Genomic DNA, 21368 nt, shown 5'->3' with positions numbered 1-21368 from the left:
TCTGTTTGAAAATAACTGTTTTATATATATTAAAATTTCCCAGGAGATTGCATTTGTCAAGTTACATTTTATGGCACCTAGTAAAATGCCCTTCATATTAAGTAGCAGTAATACATCTTATTATAGTAATAAAGTATTTTATTCAACAAATATTGTAAAGGGTGAACACATATTGAATGTCTATCGAAATATACTATGTTAGTTGCATGCACATGAAGAAGAGTTAAGCAGTTTATGGTTTTGAGATAGTTTATTCCTTGATGCATTGCTTGCTGTTTTTTTTTTTTTGGTGAAAATGGAGAGGCAAAAACACCAGCTGTTTCCTGTAACCACAGCTGAGTTTTATGAACTAATTCAGATAGAAGGGGTAATTTCTTCTAAGACAGAAAAAAGATTTATGCTCTAGTGAAATATATACATGGAGGTTAATGCTATACATTCATGTTTATAATGTAATGGGTCCATTTTAGGAACCATACACTGAAAACCACCTCACTGACTTTAAAATGCATCTCATTACCAATAAAGAGAGATCTTTGCACCACTGAAATCTCACTGAATTGCTCTGTGTGGAATTATAAAAATTAGTGAAGGCAAGACCATGTAAGTAACTGTTAATAATGCTCCCATAGCCTCTTGGTCTTTAGCTTGTCCTGAGGAAATGTTGAAAATATAGGAGAGACACTTTGGTTTATGGTATGTTTCAGAAATCAGATGTATACTCGATATGCCCACTATATATTTTAATCAGCTGGAAACATTCCTTCACACTACACCTGTAAATCGTGAGGAAGAATCAGAGTATCTAGTGAGTGTCTGCTTTGGACAGCATTCAGTGCTATGTCTTGTATATAGAGCAATATAACACGTAGTTTTTCAGCCCAAAGACCTCACAGTCTGGATGGGAGGAAGAGATGTACACATAAATATTAGAGAGCCCCCAAAGCTGCCGAATGAACATTCATGTCAAGCTATGTGATAGTGGCAGTAAAGGAGAAGAAGAAAGGAGAAAGCAGTGATTGTTTGGGCACAGTCCCATGCCATATGGAAAGAATAATTTGGGGAAAGCACAGAGTAGATGAATTTTAGGTAGGTGGAAGTAGTGGTGTGGTGAGCATGACTGCAGAGGCATAAACAGAGGCAACCTCTGTTGATGTGCTTAAGCATCAAGATAAAATTAGATGATAAGAACCAACATTTATTGAGAGAACTGTCCAATTTGGGGATTGTCAGTCCTCATAAACAACCTATGATGTAGGCAGTGTTACTATCTTCATTTTACAGATGAGGAAACTGACGCCCAGAAAGGTTAAGTAATTTGCCCATTGCTGGGGAAGATGATCTATTTAAAAAGTAAACAGACATAAACACTTTTGCTGGTTTAGCCTCCAAACGTGACTGTTAGGTCTACAGAAAACAGCATTCATTGACTAAAAAAATAGGACGCTGACTTCAACATTAACATTCTGAAGTATTACACATTGGTCCCTGAGGAAGCTCCACTTGGTCCCACATGTGGCAAAGAATACTTGATACAACCAACATCTGCCCATACTAAAGCCAGCTAACAGCTGCTGGCTAAACTTTAAACCCATAGTCTAATACATCAAATTAGAATGCAGAATCCCTGCAGTTACTTGTTGTCAGGATAAATGGATTTTTTGATCAGAGAATACCTTAACCATACCAAAGTCCCCATTTTGTAATATTGAAGGGAGGACTGAAGTCTGAGGCCTTTAATACCTAAATGGGGTCACTAATTTTATCTTGAGTATTACTCCTGTGTGGCTTTAACAAATTTTATTTATTGTTAAAACTCTGGGCCGGGCGCGGTGGCTCACGCCTGTAATCCCAGCACTTTGGGAGGCAGAGGCGGGCGGATTATGAGGTCAGGAGATGGAGACCATCCTGGCTAACACAGTGAAACCCCGCCTCTACTAAAAATACAAAAAATTAGCCGGGCTTCGTGGCGGGCGCCTGTAGTCCCAGCTACTCGGGAGGCTGAGGCAGGAGAATGGTGTGAACCCGGGAGGCGGAGCTTGCAGTGAGCCGAGATCGCGCCACTGCACTCCAGCCTGGGCGACAGAGCGAGACTCCGTCTCAAAAAAAAAAAAAAAAGAAAAAGAAAAAAAAAACTCTGGCAATTTGTATCATATTCTCTAAAATAGAAATAAAACCAGCCTCTTAATTGCACACATGTGCATGTAACCATTTAGTTCTTTAAAGTGAAGCTAGGCAGATGCAGTGGCTTTCACCTGTCATCCCAGCATCTTGGGAGGAGAATTCGAGACCACCCTGGGTAATGGAGGGAGTTCTTGTCTCTAAAGAAAAATTTAAAAAATTTAGCTGGTACCAGCTAGTTGGGAGGCCGAAATGAGAGGATCACTTGAGCCCAGGAGTTTGGGGCTGCAGTGAGCCGTTTTCTCACCACTGCACTCCAGTCTGGGAGACAGAGCAAGATCCTGCCTCAGAAAAAAAAAAAAAAGGAAAGCTGCAGGCAGTTCCTAAGAGGACGATGGCCTTTCAGTTCTTGTGGAAATGACAAGGTCTTCCCTAGAGCCAGTGACTTCACAGTGGAGTTTGTTAGAGCCATGTCCATTTCCATCGCTAATGTCAGCTGTGTTTTCTTAATAATTTAAATGTATGTGATATATGTGGGTTTTTTTATAGAAAAGGTTTGTCTCATTTTGCTTTCTATTTTACTGAAGCATGGGCCTAAAGAAAGTTCTCAAGGAATTATTTATTTATTTACCAAGCTTTGAAAAAATACTGCTTTAAGGTCATCCTCCAAAGATGTATGTTTGTTTCTCTTAGTCATCACAATCTTCCATAGTCTTTATAAAATTACCTTTATTAATAAAATTGGGTATTTTCTCCATAATAGCTGATTTTAGCCTCATACCTTCAATGTAAAATTGGTCCTTTAGGATGGAAACTAAACACAGGGTTTTTGAATATGCCCCTTTACTTTTCCCTTAACTTTTATGATTTTGGTGTTAGTATATACCCATATATAACATAAAAATAACAATTCATATCTTCTCAAGATTACTTTGAAAATGCTTTTAAAATATTGAATTTTAGAAGACAAGTATTTATGGATTGCTCATCATGTACCAAACACTGTGCTTTACTTACTACCTCTGCCATTTTCTAGATGAGAAAACAGGCTCAGAAAAATGTAATGTCATCTCTAATGTCATGGAGCGAGATGTGGTAAACATAGAGTGGGAACCTAGCCTTGTTTAATTCTAATGCCTGAGATCTGAATTACTGTGTTGAACTCTTTTCAGTGCAAATGTGCTACACACATAGGTGTTATTAGTACGTGTATTATGAACACCATTTATTTAGTCTAGTAGGGGGAGCTTTAACACTTTATTTAACCTATATGAACCTAAGCTTGAAGGGCCCTTCCTGTCTTTCTGGTCACATAGACCTGATTTCAAATCCGGGCTCTACCATTTACCACTTATATGACCTTGAGTAATTTACAGAACTTTTCTGAATCCGTTTTCCCATTGGCAAAATGGAGATATGACCTATCACAATACTACTGTAAAGTTATTTGGAAAATGTTTATGGAACACCTGAGGCACAATAGATGTGAAATATTGTCATTTTATAGTAATCCTTCTTTCCTCTAACAGTCTAAACCTTCTGTTTGCTTTTGTCAACATTTTATTTCATGGTTGCAGAAAATGAAGTCCAGAGGAAAAAACTGCCTTTCTCATCCAGTTAATTAATTGAAATTGAGATTGAAATTTAGGTCATAAATTTTTATTACTTATCTCTATCTCTCCTTCAAAATATGAAATATAAAACAATTTCAAAGCAAAAAATACACCTAAGATTTATATCTCCATTTTATCATCTCTTAACTATCTATAATTAAATAATTTTTAAAGCTTTTCAAAAAGCTCTAAATTACTTGGATATTATTATCCAGTAATTTAGAACAGCTGGACACTCACTTTGATTTCATTGACTTTTCTGAGACATTTAAAAGAGGGAAAAATTGAAATATTTATATTTAACTAGATTTTTATATGGTATATTAGTTCCTTTATAACTTGGAATTCATTACTTTTACTATCTTTCCTTTTTATTTCTATACTTCCTTTTAAGATAAAGTTTAGTTCCTTTAAGAACTGGACTGCCAGATGAACCTGATTTGTTTAGTAAGGCAAACTCTTATTGTAAGTGTTTGTAAGATTCACAGTTGAATTACATTTACAAGGTTAGAGAACTAAGTTCTTTTTTCAGTGGTAAACAGGAAATGTCAGTACTCTGAGTAATATTTTCCACTCATATAGCAAATAGAATTTTCCAAAAGATTGTTAGTTCAGTCACATTTTTTTCAAACTATATTTACTCCAAGTGCTAAGAGATATTTTATGGGATAATTTATTTCTTCTTCAGCTTGAATTAATAATCAGATAAAATTCATATGTGATATGATGTGCTTCTGGACTGGCTTTTAACAATCTTGCAAAGAGGTCACAACTGTTGAGTTTTTATCTCTCATCATTTGAAAGATTAAGGAGTTTTTTTCTCTAGAGAACACTTTATTTTCTAATATGAGAATATTTTCTAACGTGTATTTGTTTCATTTCCAGTGTAATATATACTTCTCATAATAAGTAAAAAAGTAAAAAATATATAAAATAAAAAGTAGTAGTGCCCTCTTTCTCCAAATTCTACTTTCCTGAGGTGACTAATGCTAACAGATTTATTTGTATTTTTCTAAAACTTTATGCTGAAGAAAACATTTACAACATTTATATAGGATTTTTTTGGGTTAATCTCTTTTATTTGTAAACAAATTAGGATCACTCTATATCTATTACTTTGAATTTTGCTTTTCAAATTAATGCCCTCATCATTACTGGACAAAATATTATAACACATTATTTTTAATGTTTACATAATTTAATCTCCTATTATGTATAAACCATAATTTTTGCAGCCATACACTTTTGATGCACATTCAAGATGTTGTAAGCTTTTTGCTACCATAAACATTGCTTCAGTAAATGTTCTTGTAAGTATATCGTTATGTATTGGTGGTTTCATTCCTATACGCTAGATTGCTAAATGGATTGAATCAAGATTACATGTATTTCAAACTTTAATATATTTGTCAGATTACTTTATAAAATTCACACACTAGCTGTATGTGAATATTTTCTCATCCCTTCTTGAGCACTGGATATTTTAGTCTTTTAAATTTATTGCCTGTTAATGGATGAAAACTAATATTTCTGATTGCTTTGGCTTGCTTTCCTTAGACTACTAGTGAGGCTTATGCTCTTTTTATGCTCTCTTCTGTCAGTTTGCTGTTCAACCCTTTACCGATTTCTTTTTAAAACATTCTTTTATTGAATTGCCTAGATAAAAGTGCACAAACAGTATAAAACTCATTGAATTTTCATAAGGTGAACTGACTCATGAAACCAGAATCAAGATCAAGAATAGAGTATCAACTCAGAAGCGTCCTTTGCGTCCCCTCCCAGGTACTGTCTGTCCCCAGAGGTCACCAGTTTGCTGACTTAAATCACTCTTTACTAATTTTGCCTGTTGTGAATTTTTTGTAGGTAGACAGAAACGCTAGTGCTCTTCTGTGTCTGGCTTTTTTTGCCGAACGGGATGTGCAAGTTGGCCATGTTGTTTGTAGAAAATAATGTGTTCATTTTCATCTTTGAATTTCATTTTCTGAACATACCAGAATTTTTTATTCATTTTTATTGGTTAGCTATTTCTGTGAACCAAACCAACCCAAAGTTCAACAACTTTAAATAAGCTTTAAATGAAGAAGCACATGTTATAGTTTACAAGTCAGCTTGGTGGTTCTTCTGTTTGTAGCTGGGCTACAAACAGGTATGTAACCAGCTTGGGTTGGGTATGCAGCTTTCTAATAGTGCCTGGGCTCTCTCTTCTTGTTGGGAGTCAGCTGGTTGTAAGCAGGTCTAGGAGGCCTCAGCTGAACAAGTGGGCTCTCCTTTATAGTATCTTGTTCTCTAGAAGTCTAGACTGGGCTTGTTCAAATGGTGATGGCACAGTTCCAAAAGAGAGAGTAGAAACTGTAAGGCCACTTGAGGCTTGGTTTGGGATTAGCACGCCATTGCTCCTGCCATAAGAAGCAGGCCCAGCCTACATACCGGAGAATGGTGATAGACTCCAACCCCTGAAGGTCTAGTTTGTGGGAGAACTTTCTGACCTTACCTGGAGTTGAGTCAATTTAGAGAGCTGAGCAAAATACAGGGATAGAGGAAGCAGTGGGAAAGGACCTGGGAGCTCACTGGGTCCCTAAGCATGCCATCCCTGCTTGGTACCACAGGGATCTTTTGGGAGGGTGACCAGAGGCACAGGGTAAAATGCCACAGGGAGAAGGAAGTCCCCAGCTGAACTTTGTAACAATTTGAATCCAGCAAGAAGCCTCCTGGCCAGAACCTGGGGAAGGGCACGAATCTGGTGTGCAGACTCCACGGGTGAGGGAAGAACCAAATCCTTTTTCTTCTGCACCTGGGAAGTGGCTAGTCTGGGGCAAGTTCTCAAGCCGTGCTCATCTACTGCCTGGAAACAGGATGTTGGGGGAGGGGCATGATGGGAGGGAGACCAGCCCTTCAGATTGTGTGGGAGCTGAGTGAGGCCTGTGACTGTTGGTTTTCCCCTACTTCCCTGGCAACCTGCATGACTCAGCAGAAGCAGCCATGATCCTCCTAGGTAGATGACTCCATTGACCTGGGAACCTCACCCCCATTCCCCACAGCAGCTGCAGCAAGACCCTTCCAAGGAGAGTCTGAGCTCAGACACACCTAGCCCTGCCCCCACCTGATGGGCCTTCCCTACCCACCCTGGTAGCTGAAGACAAACGCTATATACTCTTGGGAGTTCTAGGGCCCCGCCCACCACCACTTCCTCTTCGTACCACCACAGCTGATGCTCTCTGGAAAGTGCCACCTCCTGGCAGGACGCCAACCAGCACAAAAATAGAACTTTAAATCACCAAAGGTAAGAACCCTCACAGAGCCCATTTCATCTCCCTGCCACCTCCACTGGAACAGGTGCTGGTATCAATGGCTGAGAGGCCCATAGACAGTTCACATCACAGGGCTCTGTGCAGACAAACCCCAGTACCAGCCTGGAGCCTGGTAGACTTGCTGGGTGGCTACACCCAGAAGAGATATAACAATCACTGCAGCTTATCTCACAGGAAGCCACATCCATAGAAAAAAGGGGAGAGTACTATATTAAGGGAACATCCCCTGGGACAAAATAATCTGAACAGTAGCCTTCACCCGTAGACTTTTCCTCTGACAGAGCCTACCCAAATGAGAAGGAACCAGAAAACCAACTCTGGTGATATGACAAAACAAGGCTCTTTAACACCCCCAAAAAATCACACTAGCTCACCAGCAATCGATCCAAACCAAGAAGAAATCCCTGATTAACCTGAAGAAGAATTCAGGAGGTTACTTATTAAGCTAATCAGGGAGACACCAGCGAAAGGCAAGAAAATCCAAAAAACAATACAAGAAGTGAAGGAAGAAATATTTAAGGAAATAGATTGTTAAAGAACAAACAATCAAAACTTCAGGAAACCTTGGACACTCTTATAGAAATGCAAAATGTTCTGGAAAGTCTCAGCAATAGAATTGAACAAGTAGAAGAAAGAAATTCGGAGCTCAAAGACAAGGTCTTCAAATTAACCCAATCCAACAAAGACAAAGAAAAAATAAGAAAATATAAACAAGGCCTCCAAGAAGTCTGGAATTATGGTAAATGACCAAACCTAAGAATAAGGAAGAGGTATTCCTGAGGAAGAAAAGGAATCTAAAAGTTTGGAAACATATTTGGGGAGATAATCAAGGAAAATTTCCTTGGCCTAGCTAGAGACCTCGACATCCAAATACAAGAAGCACAAAGAAGATCTGGGAAATTCATCACAGAAAGATAATCACCTAGGCACATCATCATCAGGTTATGATGAAGTTAAGATGAAGGAAAGAAGTGTAAGACCTACGAGACAAAAGCACCAGTTAACTTATAAAGGAAAACCTATGAGATTAACAGCAGATTTCTCAGCAGAAACCCTACAAGCGAGAAGGAATTGAGGCTTTATCTTCAGAATCCTCAAACAAAACAATTATCAGCCAAGAATTTTGTATCCAGTGAAACTGAGCATCATATATGAAGGAAAGATATAGTCTTTTTTAGACAAACAAATGCTGAGAGAATTCGCCACTATTAAGGAAGCACCACAAGAGCTGCTATAAGGAGCTCTAAATCTTGAAACAAATCCAGAAACACATCAAAACAGAACCTCTTGAAAGCATAAATCACATAGGACCTATAAAACAAAAATACAATTTAAAAAGCAAAAACAAAAAACAAAAAATCCAAGGTACACAGGCAACAAATAGCACAATGAATGCAATGATACCTTACATCTCAATACTACATTGAATGTAAATCGCCTAAGTGCTCCACTTAAAAGATATAGAACTGCAGAATGGATAAGAACTTACCAATCAACTATCTGCTGCCTTCAGGAGACTCACCTAACACGTAAGGACTCACATAAACTTAAAGTAAAGGGGTGGAGAAAGGCATTTCATGCAAATGGACGTCAAAAGCAAGCAGGGGTAGCTATTCTTACATCAGACAAAACAGACTTTAAAGCAACAAGCAACAGCAGTTAAAAGAGAAAAAGAGGGATATTAAATAATGTTAAAAGGCCTTGTCCAGCAGGAAAATATCACAATCCTAAACATACATGCACGTAACATTGGAGCTCTCAAAATTGTAAAACAGTTACTAATAGAACTAAGAATTGAGATAGACAGCAACACAATAATAATGAGGGACTTCAATACTCCACTGACAGCACTAGACAGGTCATCAAGACAAAGTCAACAAAGAAACAATGGATTAAAACTATACCATGGAACAAATGGACTTAACAGATATATACAGAACATTTCATCCAACAACTGCAGAATGCACATTCTTTTCAACAGTGCATGGAACCTTCTCCAAGACAGGACACGTGATAGGCCATAAAACAAGCCTCAATAAATTTAAGAAAATTGAAATTATATCAAGCACTTTCTCAGACCACAGTGGAATAAAACTAGAAATCAACTCTAAACAGAACCTTCAAAACTATGCAAATACATGGAAATTAAATAACCTGCTCCTGAGTGAGCATTGGGTCAAAAATGAAATCAAGATAGAAATTTAAAAATTCTTTGAACTGAATGACAATAATGACACAACCTATCAAAATCTGTGGGATACAGCAAAGGTGGTGTTAAGAGGAAAGTTCACGGCCCTAAATGCCTACATCAAAAGGACTGAAAGAGCACAAACTGACATTCTAAGGTCACACTTCAAGGAACTAGAGAAACAAGAACAAACTAAACCGAAACCCAGCAGAAGAAAGGAAATAACCCGGATCAGACCTGAACTAAAAGAAATGGAAACAAACAAACAAAAAACAATACAAAACATTAATGAAACAAAAAGCTGATTCTTTGAAAAGATAAATAAAGTTGATAGACCATTAACAAGATTAACCTAGAAGAGAGAAAATCCAAATAACCTCATTAAGAAACAAAATGGGAGATATTGCAACTGATAACTGAAACACAAAAGATCATTCAAGGCTACTTTGAACACCTTTATACACATAAACTAGAAAACCTAGAAGAGATGGATAAATTTCTGGAAAAATACAACTCTCCTAGCTTAAATCAGGAAAAATTAGATACCTTGAACAGACCAATAGCAAGCAGTGAGATTGAAAGGATAATTAAAAAATTACCAACAATAAAAAAGTCCGGGGCCAGACGGATTCACAGCAGGCATTCAAAGAAGAATTGGTACCAATCTTTTTGACATTATTCCACAAGATAGAGAAAGGGAGAACCCTCCCTAATTCATTCTATGAAACCAGCATCACCCTAATACCCAAACCAGGAAAGGGCATAACCAAAAGAGAAAACTACTGACCGATATAACCAATGAACTTAGATGCTAAAATCCCTAATAAAATGCTAGCTAGCCAAATCCAACAACATATCAAAAAGATAATCTACCATGATCAAGTGGGTTTCATACCAGGGATGCAGGAATGGTTAAGCATAGGCAAGTCAGTAAATGTGATACAGCACATAAACAGAATTAAAAACAAAAATCACCTGATCATCTCAATAGATGCAGAAAAAGCATCCAACAAAATCTGGCATCCCTTTACGATTAAAACTCTTAGCAAAGTCGGCATACAAGGAACATACCTCAATATAATAAAAGCCATCTACGACAAACCCACAACCAGCATAATAATGAATGAGGAAAAGTTGCAAGCATTCCCTCTGAGAACTGGAACAAGACAAGGATGCCCAATCTCACCACCCCTCTTCAGCATAGTACTGGAAGTCCTAGCCAGAGCAATCAGACAAGAGAAAGAAATAAAGGGCATCCAAATCAGTAAAGAGAAAGTCAAACTGTCCCTGTTTGCTGTTGATATCATTTACCTTGAAAACCCCAAAGACGACTCCAGAAAGCTCCTAGAACTGATAGAAGAATTTGGCAAAGTTTCTGGATACAATATTAAGGTATAGAAATCAGTAGCTCTTCTATACTTCAACAGTGACCAAGCAGAGAATCAAATCAAGAATTCAACCCCTTTTACAATAGCTGCAAACAAACAAACAAACAAAAACAAAAACAAAAAACTTAGAAATATACCTAACCAAAGAGGCCAAGGACCTCTACAAGGAAAGCTACAAAACACTGCTGAAAGAAATCACAGATGACACAAACAAATGGAAACACATCCCATGCTTATGGATGGGTAGAATCAATATTGTGAAAATGACTGTACTGTCAAAAGCAATCTACAAATTCAATTCAGTCCCCGTCAAAATACCACCATCATTCTTTCTTCACAGAATTAGAAAAAACAATTCTAAAATTCATATGGAACCAAAAAAGAGCCTGCATAGCCAAAGCAAGACTAAGCAAAAAGAACAAATCTGGAGGCATCACACCACTTGATTTCAAACTATAAGACCATAGTCACCAAAACAGCATGGTACTGGTATAAAAATAGGCACATAGACCAATGGAACAGAATAGAGAACACAGAAATAAACCCAAATACTTACAGCCAACTGTTCTTCGACAAAGCAAACAAAGACATAAAGTGGGTAAATGACACCCTTTTCAACAAATGGTGCTGAGATAATAAGCTAGCCACATGTAGGAGAGTGAAACTGGATCCTCATCTCTCACCTTATACAAAAATTAATTCAAGATGGATTAAGGACTTAAATCTAAGACCTGAAGCTATAAAAATTCTAGAAGATAACATTGGAAAAACTTTTCTAGACATTGGCTTAGGCAAGGATTTCATGACCAAGAACCCAAAAGCAAATGCAATAAAAACAAAGATAAATAGTTGGGACCTAATTAAACTAAAGAGCTTTTGCACCTCAAAAGGAATAGTCAGCAGAGTAAACAGACAACCCACAGAGTGGGGGAAAATTTTCACAATCTATACGTCTGACAAAGGACTAATATCCAGAATTGACAACAAACTCAAACAAATCAGTAAGAAAACAAACAAACAATCCCATCAAAAAGTAGGCTAAGGACATGAATAGACAATTCTCAAAGGAAGATATACAAATAGCCAACAAGCATTTGAAAAAACGCTCAACATCACTAATGATCAGGGAAGTGCAAATCAAAACCACAGTGCAATACCACCTTACTCCTGCAAGAATGGCCATAATCAAAAAATCAAAAAACAGGAGATGTTGGTGTGGATGCGGTGATCAGGGAACACTTCTACACTGCTGGTGGGAATGTAAACTAGTAAGGCCACTATGGCAAACAGTGTGGAGATTCCTTAAAGAACTAAAAGTAGAACTACCATTTGATCTGGTGGTCTCACTACTGGGTATCTACCCAGAGGAAAGTAAGTCATTATATGAAAAAGATACTTGCCCACGAATGTTTATAGCGGCACATTTCGCAATTGCAAAATCATGGATCCAACCCAAATGCCCATCAATCAATGAGTGGATAAAGAAACTGTGGTATATATATATATGTATATATATATATATGTATATATATATATGTATATATATATATATGTATATATATATATGTATATATATATATATGTATATATATGTGTATATATATATACATGTATATATATATATGATGGAATATATCTATATATATGATGGAATACTACTAAGCCATGAAAAGGAATGAATTATCAGCACTTGTAGCAACCTGGATGAGACTGGAGACTATTATTCTAAGTCAAGTAACTCAGGAATGGAAGACCAAATATTGTATGTTCTCACTGATATATAGGAGCTAAGCTATGAGGACGCAAAGGCATAAGAATGATACAATGGACTTTGGGGACTTGGGGGAAAGGGTGGGGGTGGGCAAGGGATAAAAAGACTACAAATAAGGTGCAGTGTATACTGCTCAGGTGATGGGTGCACCAAAGTCTCACAAATCACCACCAAAGAACTTACTTATGTAACCAAATACTACCTGTGCCCCCGTAACCCTTGGAAAAATAAAAAATAAAATAAAATAAAAATAAATAAGGAGAGAATACACACAAGGGTTACTGTGCAGGTAGAAGATGAAAGACTTGGCACCTTCTTTGATGTTAGGGGTTAGGACTTTAGTAAAAATCCAAAAAGAAATGCTGGTTTAGCGGGGAGTGAAGACAATGCAGTCTTTTTTGGAACCATTATCATAACTTGATTTATATGCTCTTTTGTTAGATTTCTTCCTTTATCTGCCAAGAAAAGAGATTGGCCACATTCCTGAAACTGTAAATTTTTCTTTGAAAACTTATGCAGGTTGTGAATTACAACATTTAGATTAAGTGTGGTTTTTATACAATATGGAATAAATCACCCGTGTTTTTTATATGTTTTCTTCATATGTACATCCATTTTAATGTAGTTTTTATGGCTGCATACCTGAGAATATTTAAACTCTGACAAAAAGTATTAATTGCAAAAGTTATTTTAGGCTTAACTTAAAGGAGATGTTGACAAGTTTAGGGAAAAAAACAAATCAGACTTGTAAGACTAATGACCCTTGCGTTTGTCCTTGGGACCCACCTTGATCTTTGAGTTTGGCAGGTCACTTCAACATTTGAGTACCCAGTGGGAACACTGAAGTGCACTGAAATGTACTGGATTAAGTTAGGGTGAAGATAAATAGCAAAGTAAAAATTACAGAATCCTGGGTGGTTGTTATATGAATGATGTTACATTATTTTTTCTGTTAACTTTGCAAATTAAATAAAATGCAAACAATCAAATAAACCCAAAGATTAATAAGACAGTTGCCTTCCTCTCAAGAAACCTACATCTATAGGAAAATACTTTCTTATGCAGTATCTGGAAAGCAACAGGAGATTTAGGACCTTTGAAAAAGTGAGTTCAGTGTGAACCTCTTTACTAAGATAAACAGACTTCCTGGAGTCGGGGGTATCTACCTAGGATGGAGATTCACCCACGGACATGAAGGCCAGTGTTTATTTAATGCAGCCATAGCCTGAGTTTAGTTTGTTTTCTCTTTTTCATGGAACTGTTCTATAAATGAGAACTTTTTAAATGGGGGCCTCATGTTCAAACACATGGAGAATAAGAAAAAAAAAAGAGAGAAGAGTGAGAACTAAAAAAGTCATCCACTCCTATTCATTTATTTGTTTAACTTTCATGACTTATAAAAGACTGTATTTCTTCATTGTAGCAATGGTTCACCACAAATTCTGCAAGAAGTTAAGCATAGTCTTTTAAATATTTTTGCTATCCCTTTTCCAACTAGAGGGCAACACTCCATAAAATAAATCAAATAATTTTTTTTTTTTGAGACAGGATCACACTCTGTCGCACAGGCTGGAGTGCAGTGGTACAATCTTGGCTCACTACAACCTCCACCTTCGGAGTTCAAGCGATTCTCCTGCCTCAGCCTCTCAAGTAGCTGGGATTACAGGCACCCACCAACACACCTGGCTAATTTTTGTATTTTTGGTAGAGATGGGGTTTCACTATGTTGGCCAGGCTGGTCTCTAACTTCTGACCTCAAGTGATCTGTCTGCCTCGGCCTCCCAAAGTGCTGGGATTACAGATGTGAGCCACTACACCCAGCCCAAATGACATTTTGAAACAGTCCTACAAAATTAAAGTACAAAATTATTTTGAACCTTATTTTAATTCCTTTTCTGACCATAGCTCCCTCCCTTGTATCTCCACTGTATCCTGTACAGATAAGAAAGGTAGACAATCAGTCACCCGGAGAATGAAACTTGAACCAGTTGGACCAGGGTGCAAATCTAAGCCTGCCACTAAGAATACGTGTTAATTTCTTCAGTTTACTTAATTGTGCCTCAATTTTCTTGGTTGCAAAATGAAGACAGTAATACCAGTCTCAGTGTCGTATAAAGATTAAATGTGATAACTTGTGTAATGTCCTTGGTACATATAAACACTCACAAACGATAGCTATTATTGTATATTAGCACCTTTTTTAGTGGAATTTATCTTTTACGTGATCATAAAACTTTAACTCCTTGACAATTGATCCAATTGTGGCTTAGATCTGCAGCCTTGGGTACAGTTTCTTATAGCGTTTAGTAAATGCTTGTTGGATGAGAGACTCAAATCTAGACTCAAGCCAATAATGGGGAGTTGTAAACAATGTTCAAAAAATTTATTTTGTTCCTGGGACAAATGCATTTTGAATGGGTGGCACTGTGGATTATGCATCTAGTTAATCAAAAAACAGCTCTGCTGTGCTACTTGCAGATCGTACATGGAAGGGGCAAAAAAATATGATTTAAAGACCTGGACTTATTATCGGTTCTAAAGCAAATTTATTTTGTACCTTAGAGACCACTTATCATAAATTTCTCCTGCTTTCATTACCAGATAGAACAGAACTTACTTTGCAGGCATTTAAAAGGCCAGTGAATTCTAGACCTTTGGATAAAAACCAACATAGAATTCTGCATGAAGCAATATTATTAATTTGTATTGCCTACAATTAGATTTAGCCTTTAGACTATGCTCAGAGAAATAAAAAATGTCATTGATGTTATTCCCCTGCTGCTAGAAAAAAAAGATGGGCCATTTATTACATTTTTTCATTAAATAAAATCCTTAAATTATGATGAATAAGTGCTAAAATAATATACTTTATTTAAAATTGCCAAAACCATGACAAATTACATATAAACACAGGTACTAGAAGTTTCAGGATATGAAAACTTTTATTAAAAGGAAGTTAGTTTAAAGACATGCATATTTAAATTGGTTATTTTTATATGTAAGTTATATTTTACTAAGTAAAAACCTAAGTTTTTTTCTTTCTTCTAATTTGGGCTCTGGTATTTTATCATGAGAATCATGTGTTAGTAATTAAGTTCTGCCCTTTCTTGGATAGAATTATTAGGCCTTGAAATCATTAAAAAAAATCCCCCCATCCCCCACAACAACAACACAACAACAAAAAAACAGACCCACAACTATAACTTCAAAGGAGACCAAAAAAGCAAAATGTAATCCAGAGAAACAGAAAATGTTTGATACAGAACCAAAGAAGGGTCTTGGTGTCTTTGCTGGGATCCCCCCATCAGGAGATGTAACTGGTTGGAGGTAAAGCCACATGTACTGGCATCTGTCATTTGGTCTGTCAATCTTGACAGCAGATTTAGGTTAAAGAAAAAAAAAAGACTCCTTTAGTTATTCTAAAGGCCTAAAAACTCAGAGGATATAATTGGGTTTACAGAAGAAAACTCCGTTGTTCTAGAAACACAGCTCAAAATCCTTCCTAGTCAGTTATTACTCTAAATACAAATTTTACATTAAAAAATAAGAGGAGATAAATTATGTTGCATTGACTCAGTAATAGGGAAGTAAATATTTTCAAAGGCTTTTGGAGACTATTATCTAATTAAGTATGATAGCTTACCACAAATATAAAATGAATGTAGTTTTCAAGGAAATATTATAGACAGATAATGGATGGAGATTATGAGAACTAACATTTTGAGAACTAATAGGATAAATGCTTTATATATACCCTGCACTGTATGGAATTCTTTTCTTTTCTATTCTTTTTTTTTAGAAGAGGAAGAAAAACTTACCAATTTATTCTGTGAGGCCAGCATTAAGCAGATAATATAGATAGACAAAATCATCACAAAAAAGAACCTACAGACCATTATTCCTCATAAATGTAGACACAGAAATTCTCAAAAACACTATAACACTGAATCCAACAACATGATAGTATTTTTCTATGTTATCTGCTACAAATATTATTTTAGGCTTTTACATTTAAACCTAAAATTTACCTGGAATTGACATTTTATAGTTTATAGTGTGGGGTAGGAAATGACACAAGATGTTTTTCGATGCCACTTTGCAAGCCAGAAAATTCTGTGGCCGATGGAACCTCTGCTCATTTGTTCCCATTGCCCCACTCTGGACCGTGGCCCCTGGGTTGGCCTGGCTCTGCTGCTGGTTCCTGTCACATAGGGCAGCTGGTTCCTGTCACATAGCTCCTTTTGCACCTGCTGTTTGGCGGGTCCTGGGTTCTTGTCCCATGTCCAAGAAGAATGAGATTACTTGGACAACTGAAGAGTCAGCAGGGTGGAGAGTTTTACTGAGTGATGAAACAGCTTTCAGCAGAGAGTGAGACACGAGTTGGGCAGCCTATTTACCCAAAGTTGGGTAGTGCTCTCAACTCAAAGGTGGTCAGTCCCCCAGTGTGGCTGAGTCTGGGACTTTCATGAGTTCAGAATAGGAGAATGTGTGTGGATTGGTTTGTGAGTATGCAAAAAAGGCTAAAATAAAGACACCACTCAAAGGTGGTACAACAGCGTAAAACACCAATTAGGGAAGGGTAGATATGTGTTAAATAGGTGAAGGGTGGGGATCAATCAAAGGAATGTGCGCCAAATGGGAACAGAGGTTCTCAATCCAGTCTGTGGATTTATCCAAGACTTGTGGCTTGGTTTTCAGGCTTTAAATTGTCTTTAGTTTGAAGGTCAGGTTTCACCAGGGACCCGCCCCTATCTGCCTAGGAATTTGTCTGCCTCCTGCCGCTATCAGAGTCAAGATTGATTTTTTTCCCCCCATATGAATAACCAGCTGACCTCAGGTCATTTACTGAGAAGACTTTCTTCTCCTGTGTGGGATTTTTTATCTCATGCAATCCTCATGATCACCTTGTGTGGTAGGAAACAGAGACTCATACAGTTAATTAAGTTGTCAAGTTGTCATGGGCCATTCAGTTAGTAAGCAATGAAACCAGAATTTTTAAAAATACACTGTAAAATTAATATTTGCTTACTGTAAAAACTCAAATATAAAAGATTGTAAAGTGAAAAGTAAAATGCCCTAACTTCTATTAATACTACTCAAGTGTCACTGCTTATAAAGCCATCATAAATGTTTTCTTGTATTTTTCTGAAATTGTCTATACATATGAAATCAATACCTTTATGTCTATTTCTGTTTATATTTTCATTCCTTTCTCTTAATAGATATAGAAAAAACTTCATATATCTTATATGTATATATGACTTTCTTGTTTTAACTTTTAGATCCTGATAGGATAACACTATGTATTTTGACACTTGCTTTTAATATTTGACAGTACCTTTTGAAAAATGTTCCCCTTCAGTATGTATAGATCCATTTTATTATTGTATGAATATCTGAATTTAATATAATTTAAATAACAATATTAAATTATTTCCGGTTTTATGCTATTATATTCTTTCTATTCAAATCGCCTATTGACAGACTTTTTAAATGTTGCCAAACTGATAGGTGAATATTGCCAATCTGATAGGTATGTCATTGTTGTTTTCATTTCAGTATATTGAATTCAATATATTTATTTAACACCTTTTTCTCTGTTTGTAACCATGTGGATCTCTTTTCCATGGACTTTTTTTTTTTGATACAGGGTCTCACTCTGTTGACCAGGCTGGAGTGCAGTGGTGCAATTTCGGCTCACTGCAACCTCTGCCTTCTGGGTTCAAGTGACTCTCCTGCCTCAGCCTCCTGAGTAGCTGATATTACAGGTGTGCACCACCATGCCCAGCTAATTTTTGTATTTTTAGTAGAAACGGGGTTTCACCATGTTAGCCAGGCTGGTCTTGAACTCCCAACCTCTGGTGGTCCGCCCACCTCAGTCTCCCAAAGTGATGGGATTACAGGCATGAGCCACTGTGCCCAGACTTCCATGAAGTTTTGATTCATGTATTTTGCCCATTTTCACCATTTTGTTTTTTGACTTGTTTTATCAGAACTTTTTATATTAAGGGAATTAAGCCTTTTGTTTGATATAAGTGTTGCAAATAATTTCTCCATTATTTTGGTAATTTAATGTTTACTTATCTTTCCTTAGTTTAATGTTGCTTTGAATTTCTTCTGTTAATCTTTACTTCCCCAGGATAGGAGGATGGGTCACATAAAATAAAGTTGTAGTACTCAAGCATTTTTTTAGTGCATAGTTCTGTCTCCTTTGTCGTTCTGTGATGTGGAGTTATGTTCCTGTATATTGCCCATTTCTGCAGTTTTTCATCCTCCATAAAACATGTTAGTACATGTGCATCTATCTATCCTGCATAGGACTGGCAGAAATTCAGATATACTCACCCCTTTGATGTATTGCTGAATTGAAGCGCATGTATTGACTGAAAGAAACAAACGAAACCACCAAAAAACTATTGGAAAAGTTCTCTGAATCATTTTTTCTGCAGCATGAAAAAGCAAAATTATATATATCTACTCTGTATGAACTGTATGTGCATTTGACTCTGTGAAATGCTGGAATTTGAAATACAGGTTAAACTAAAAAACAATTCATGTATCATTTAAAAACAGCTCATACCTATAGAGATGTATGCAATAGCATGTCAAAGAATAGCAAGATCTAATCTTCATGTTGTGTTTTCTTAATTACACACACACAGACACTCATACACAAATAACAAAGGCTTTAAAAAAAGTCAGCCCCATGTAATGAATTGGCAGCAAGTAGTAAAACAATGAACTGTTACTCCAACTAAGGAGAAAAAATTTGCATATGAAATAATTGCATTCAGTAAAAAAGTTACATATGTGATAAATTGTACAGAACTGAGTATAGTTTTAAACTAATGTTTACAACAAATTATGTGCTAGACACATTTCTCCTTTAGTTTTTGTAATAGATTAAAAGTTGATTTGGGCCAGGCGTGGTGGCTCACGCCTGTAATCCTGGCACTTTGGGAGGCTGAGGCAGGCAGATCATGAGGTCAGGAGTTTGAGACCAGCCTGGCCAACATGGTGAAACCCCATCTCTACTAAAAATACAAAATTAGCTGGGTGTTGTGGCACATGCCTCTAATCCCAGCTACTTGAGAGGCTGAGGCAGGAGAATTGCTTGAATCCGGGAGGTGGAGTTTGCAGTGAGCCGAGATCACACCTCTGAACTCCAGCTTGGGCAACAGAGCGAGACTCCATCTCAAAGAAAAAAAAAAAGCTGATTTGTATTTCTATTTTATAACTAAAGTAACTGAGTTTCAGTAAGGTTAAGTAATTTGCCTCAGGTCACACAACTAGTAAGGGGCAGACCTTGGATTCCAAACCAAGTCTTTGGCTTTAAGCTACCACATAGTACTGCCTCCTGAAAGAAGTTCTGAGCAACAGGGCAAATGTGAGCCAAAATAATCACATAAGCATCCAGGGAAAACAAAACTTGAGCTTTCAAAAATGAATAGGATTTAAATAAGCAAAGTTGCATAAGGGGGACTTATTGGATGGGGAAAACAGCACGAATGAAATCGTAAGTGTAAGAATGAACATAGTGCATAAAGGGAAGGGATTTCTATGACTGGAATTCATGCATATGGGACCATGGGGGTAACATGCAGCTAATGACAGTGAGCCCTGAATGTCAGAAAAAGAAGTACTGACTTTATCAGCTACAGGACGGGCAGTGTGGAGCCATTGAATATGATTGGTCAGATTAACAAGGTGAAAAGTGCGATTTGGGAAGATCATCTGCTTGGGAAATAGAGTGTTCTCCAAAAGGCAAGTTACTAAACATGTCTTAGTCTGTGTTGCTATAACAAAATACTTTAGACTGGGCAATGTATAAAGAACACAAACGTATTTCTTACAGTTCTGGAGGCTGGGAAGTTCAAGGTCAAGGCACTGTCATTGGTGTCTGCTGTCTGGTGAAAGCTATTGTCCGATTCCAAGATGGCACCTTGTTGCTGTGTCCTCACATGGTACAAAGTAGAAGGGCATGAGAATGAACCCAGTCTTTCAAACCCTTTTGTAATAGCCTTAATCCCATCCATGTAATCACCTCTTAAAGACCCTACCTCTTAATACCATCACATTGATGATTAAATTTCAACATGAGAATTTTTGGGGGACACATTCAGACCAATAGCAACATCCAAGAAGATAAGTAGATGACTATTGTTATAACTCCTATAGGATTAATGAGAGATGTGGATTAGGATGATAGCTATGACTAAAAAGCAACTTAGAGGACACTTTGAAGATGAAAAATGGGAAATAAGATGAGTCTTGCCGGGCGCAGTGGCTCACGCCTGTAATCCCAGCACGTTGGGAGGCCGAGGCGGGCGGATCACGAGGTCAGGAGATCGAGACCATTCTGGCTAACACGATGAAACCCCGTCTCTACTAAAAATACAAAAAATTAGCCGGGCGCGGTGGCGGGCGCCTGTAGTCCCAGCTACTCCAGAGGCTGAAGCAGGAGAATGGCGTGAACCCGGGAGGCGGAGCTTGCAGTGAGCAGAGATCGCGCCACTGCACTCCAGCCTGGGTGACAGAGCGAGACTCCGGCTCAAAAAAAAAAAAAAAAAAAAAAAAAATGAGTCTTGTTGTTTTAGCATGTTGTAAATACTCATTGTTCTCTTAAAAAAGTGTTTTTCAAGCACATTATAGAACCAGGCTTAGCTATTAGTTATTTTGGGAATGCTTTGTTTTATATGTATATTTTTCCAGATAGCCGAATTAAAATTTCCACCTTAACCTATTTCCCATTTAGAAAAAAAAAAAAAAAAAAAAAGAAAGTGTTGCTTGCTGCCAGTGCTCATTTCTCAGAGCAAACAAGAAATGGGTTAATCCAGATTTGAGTAGTCACCTCAGCCTTCGTTGCTTGTCTGAAGACGGGAAGAAACAAATAAAGGGTGATTGAAGAAAATAATTGTCATTGACAGTTATTATCATCATCAAACCCATTTTTATTTCAACTGAATGTTGCTTGGATTT

The 21368-nt window shown here is 37.2% G+C and overlaps 1 protein-coding gene across 4 annotated transcripts in view, besides 1 other annotated feature; it reads left to right on the top strand.

Moving 5' to 3' along the window:
• MOXD1 (monooxygenase DBH like 1) overlaps positions 1 to 21368 on the top strand; it is a 105421-nt gene that overhangs the window by 39869 nt on the left and 44184 nt on the right. The gene's annotated exons all lie outside the window — the stretch shown is intronic.
• Positions 6037 to 7236: an enhancer, noted in NCBI's record as "MED14-independent group 3 enhancer chr6:132675510-132676709 (GRCh37/hg19 assembly coordinates)". NCBI's record gives its function as "activates an origin of replication core promoter dependent on BRD2, BRD4, P300/CBP and CDK7 cofactors, and independent of MED14, by STARR-seq in HCT116 cells {active_cell/tissue: HCT116}" and the evidence as "EXISTENCE:reporter gene assay evidence [ECO:0000049][PMID:35650434]".

This window comes from Homo sapiens, chromosome 6, assembly GCF_000001405.40.
Source record: "Homo sapiens chromosome 6, GRCh38.p14 Primary Assembly".
In the NCBI taxonomy this organism is placed as follows: Eukaryota; Metazoa; Chordata; class Mammalia; order Primates; family Hominidae; genus Homo; species Homo sapiens.
This window is presented reverse-complemented; position numbering and strand designations above follow the sequence as displayed.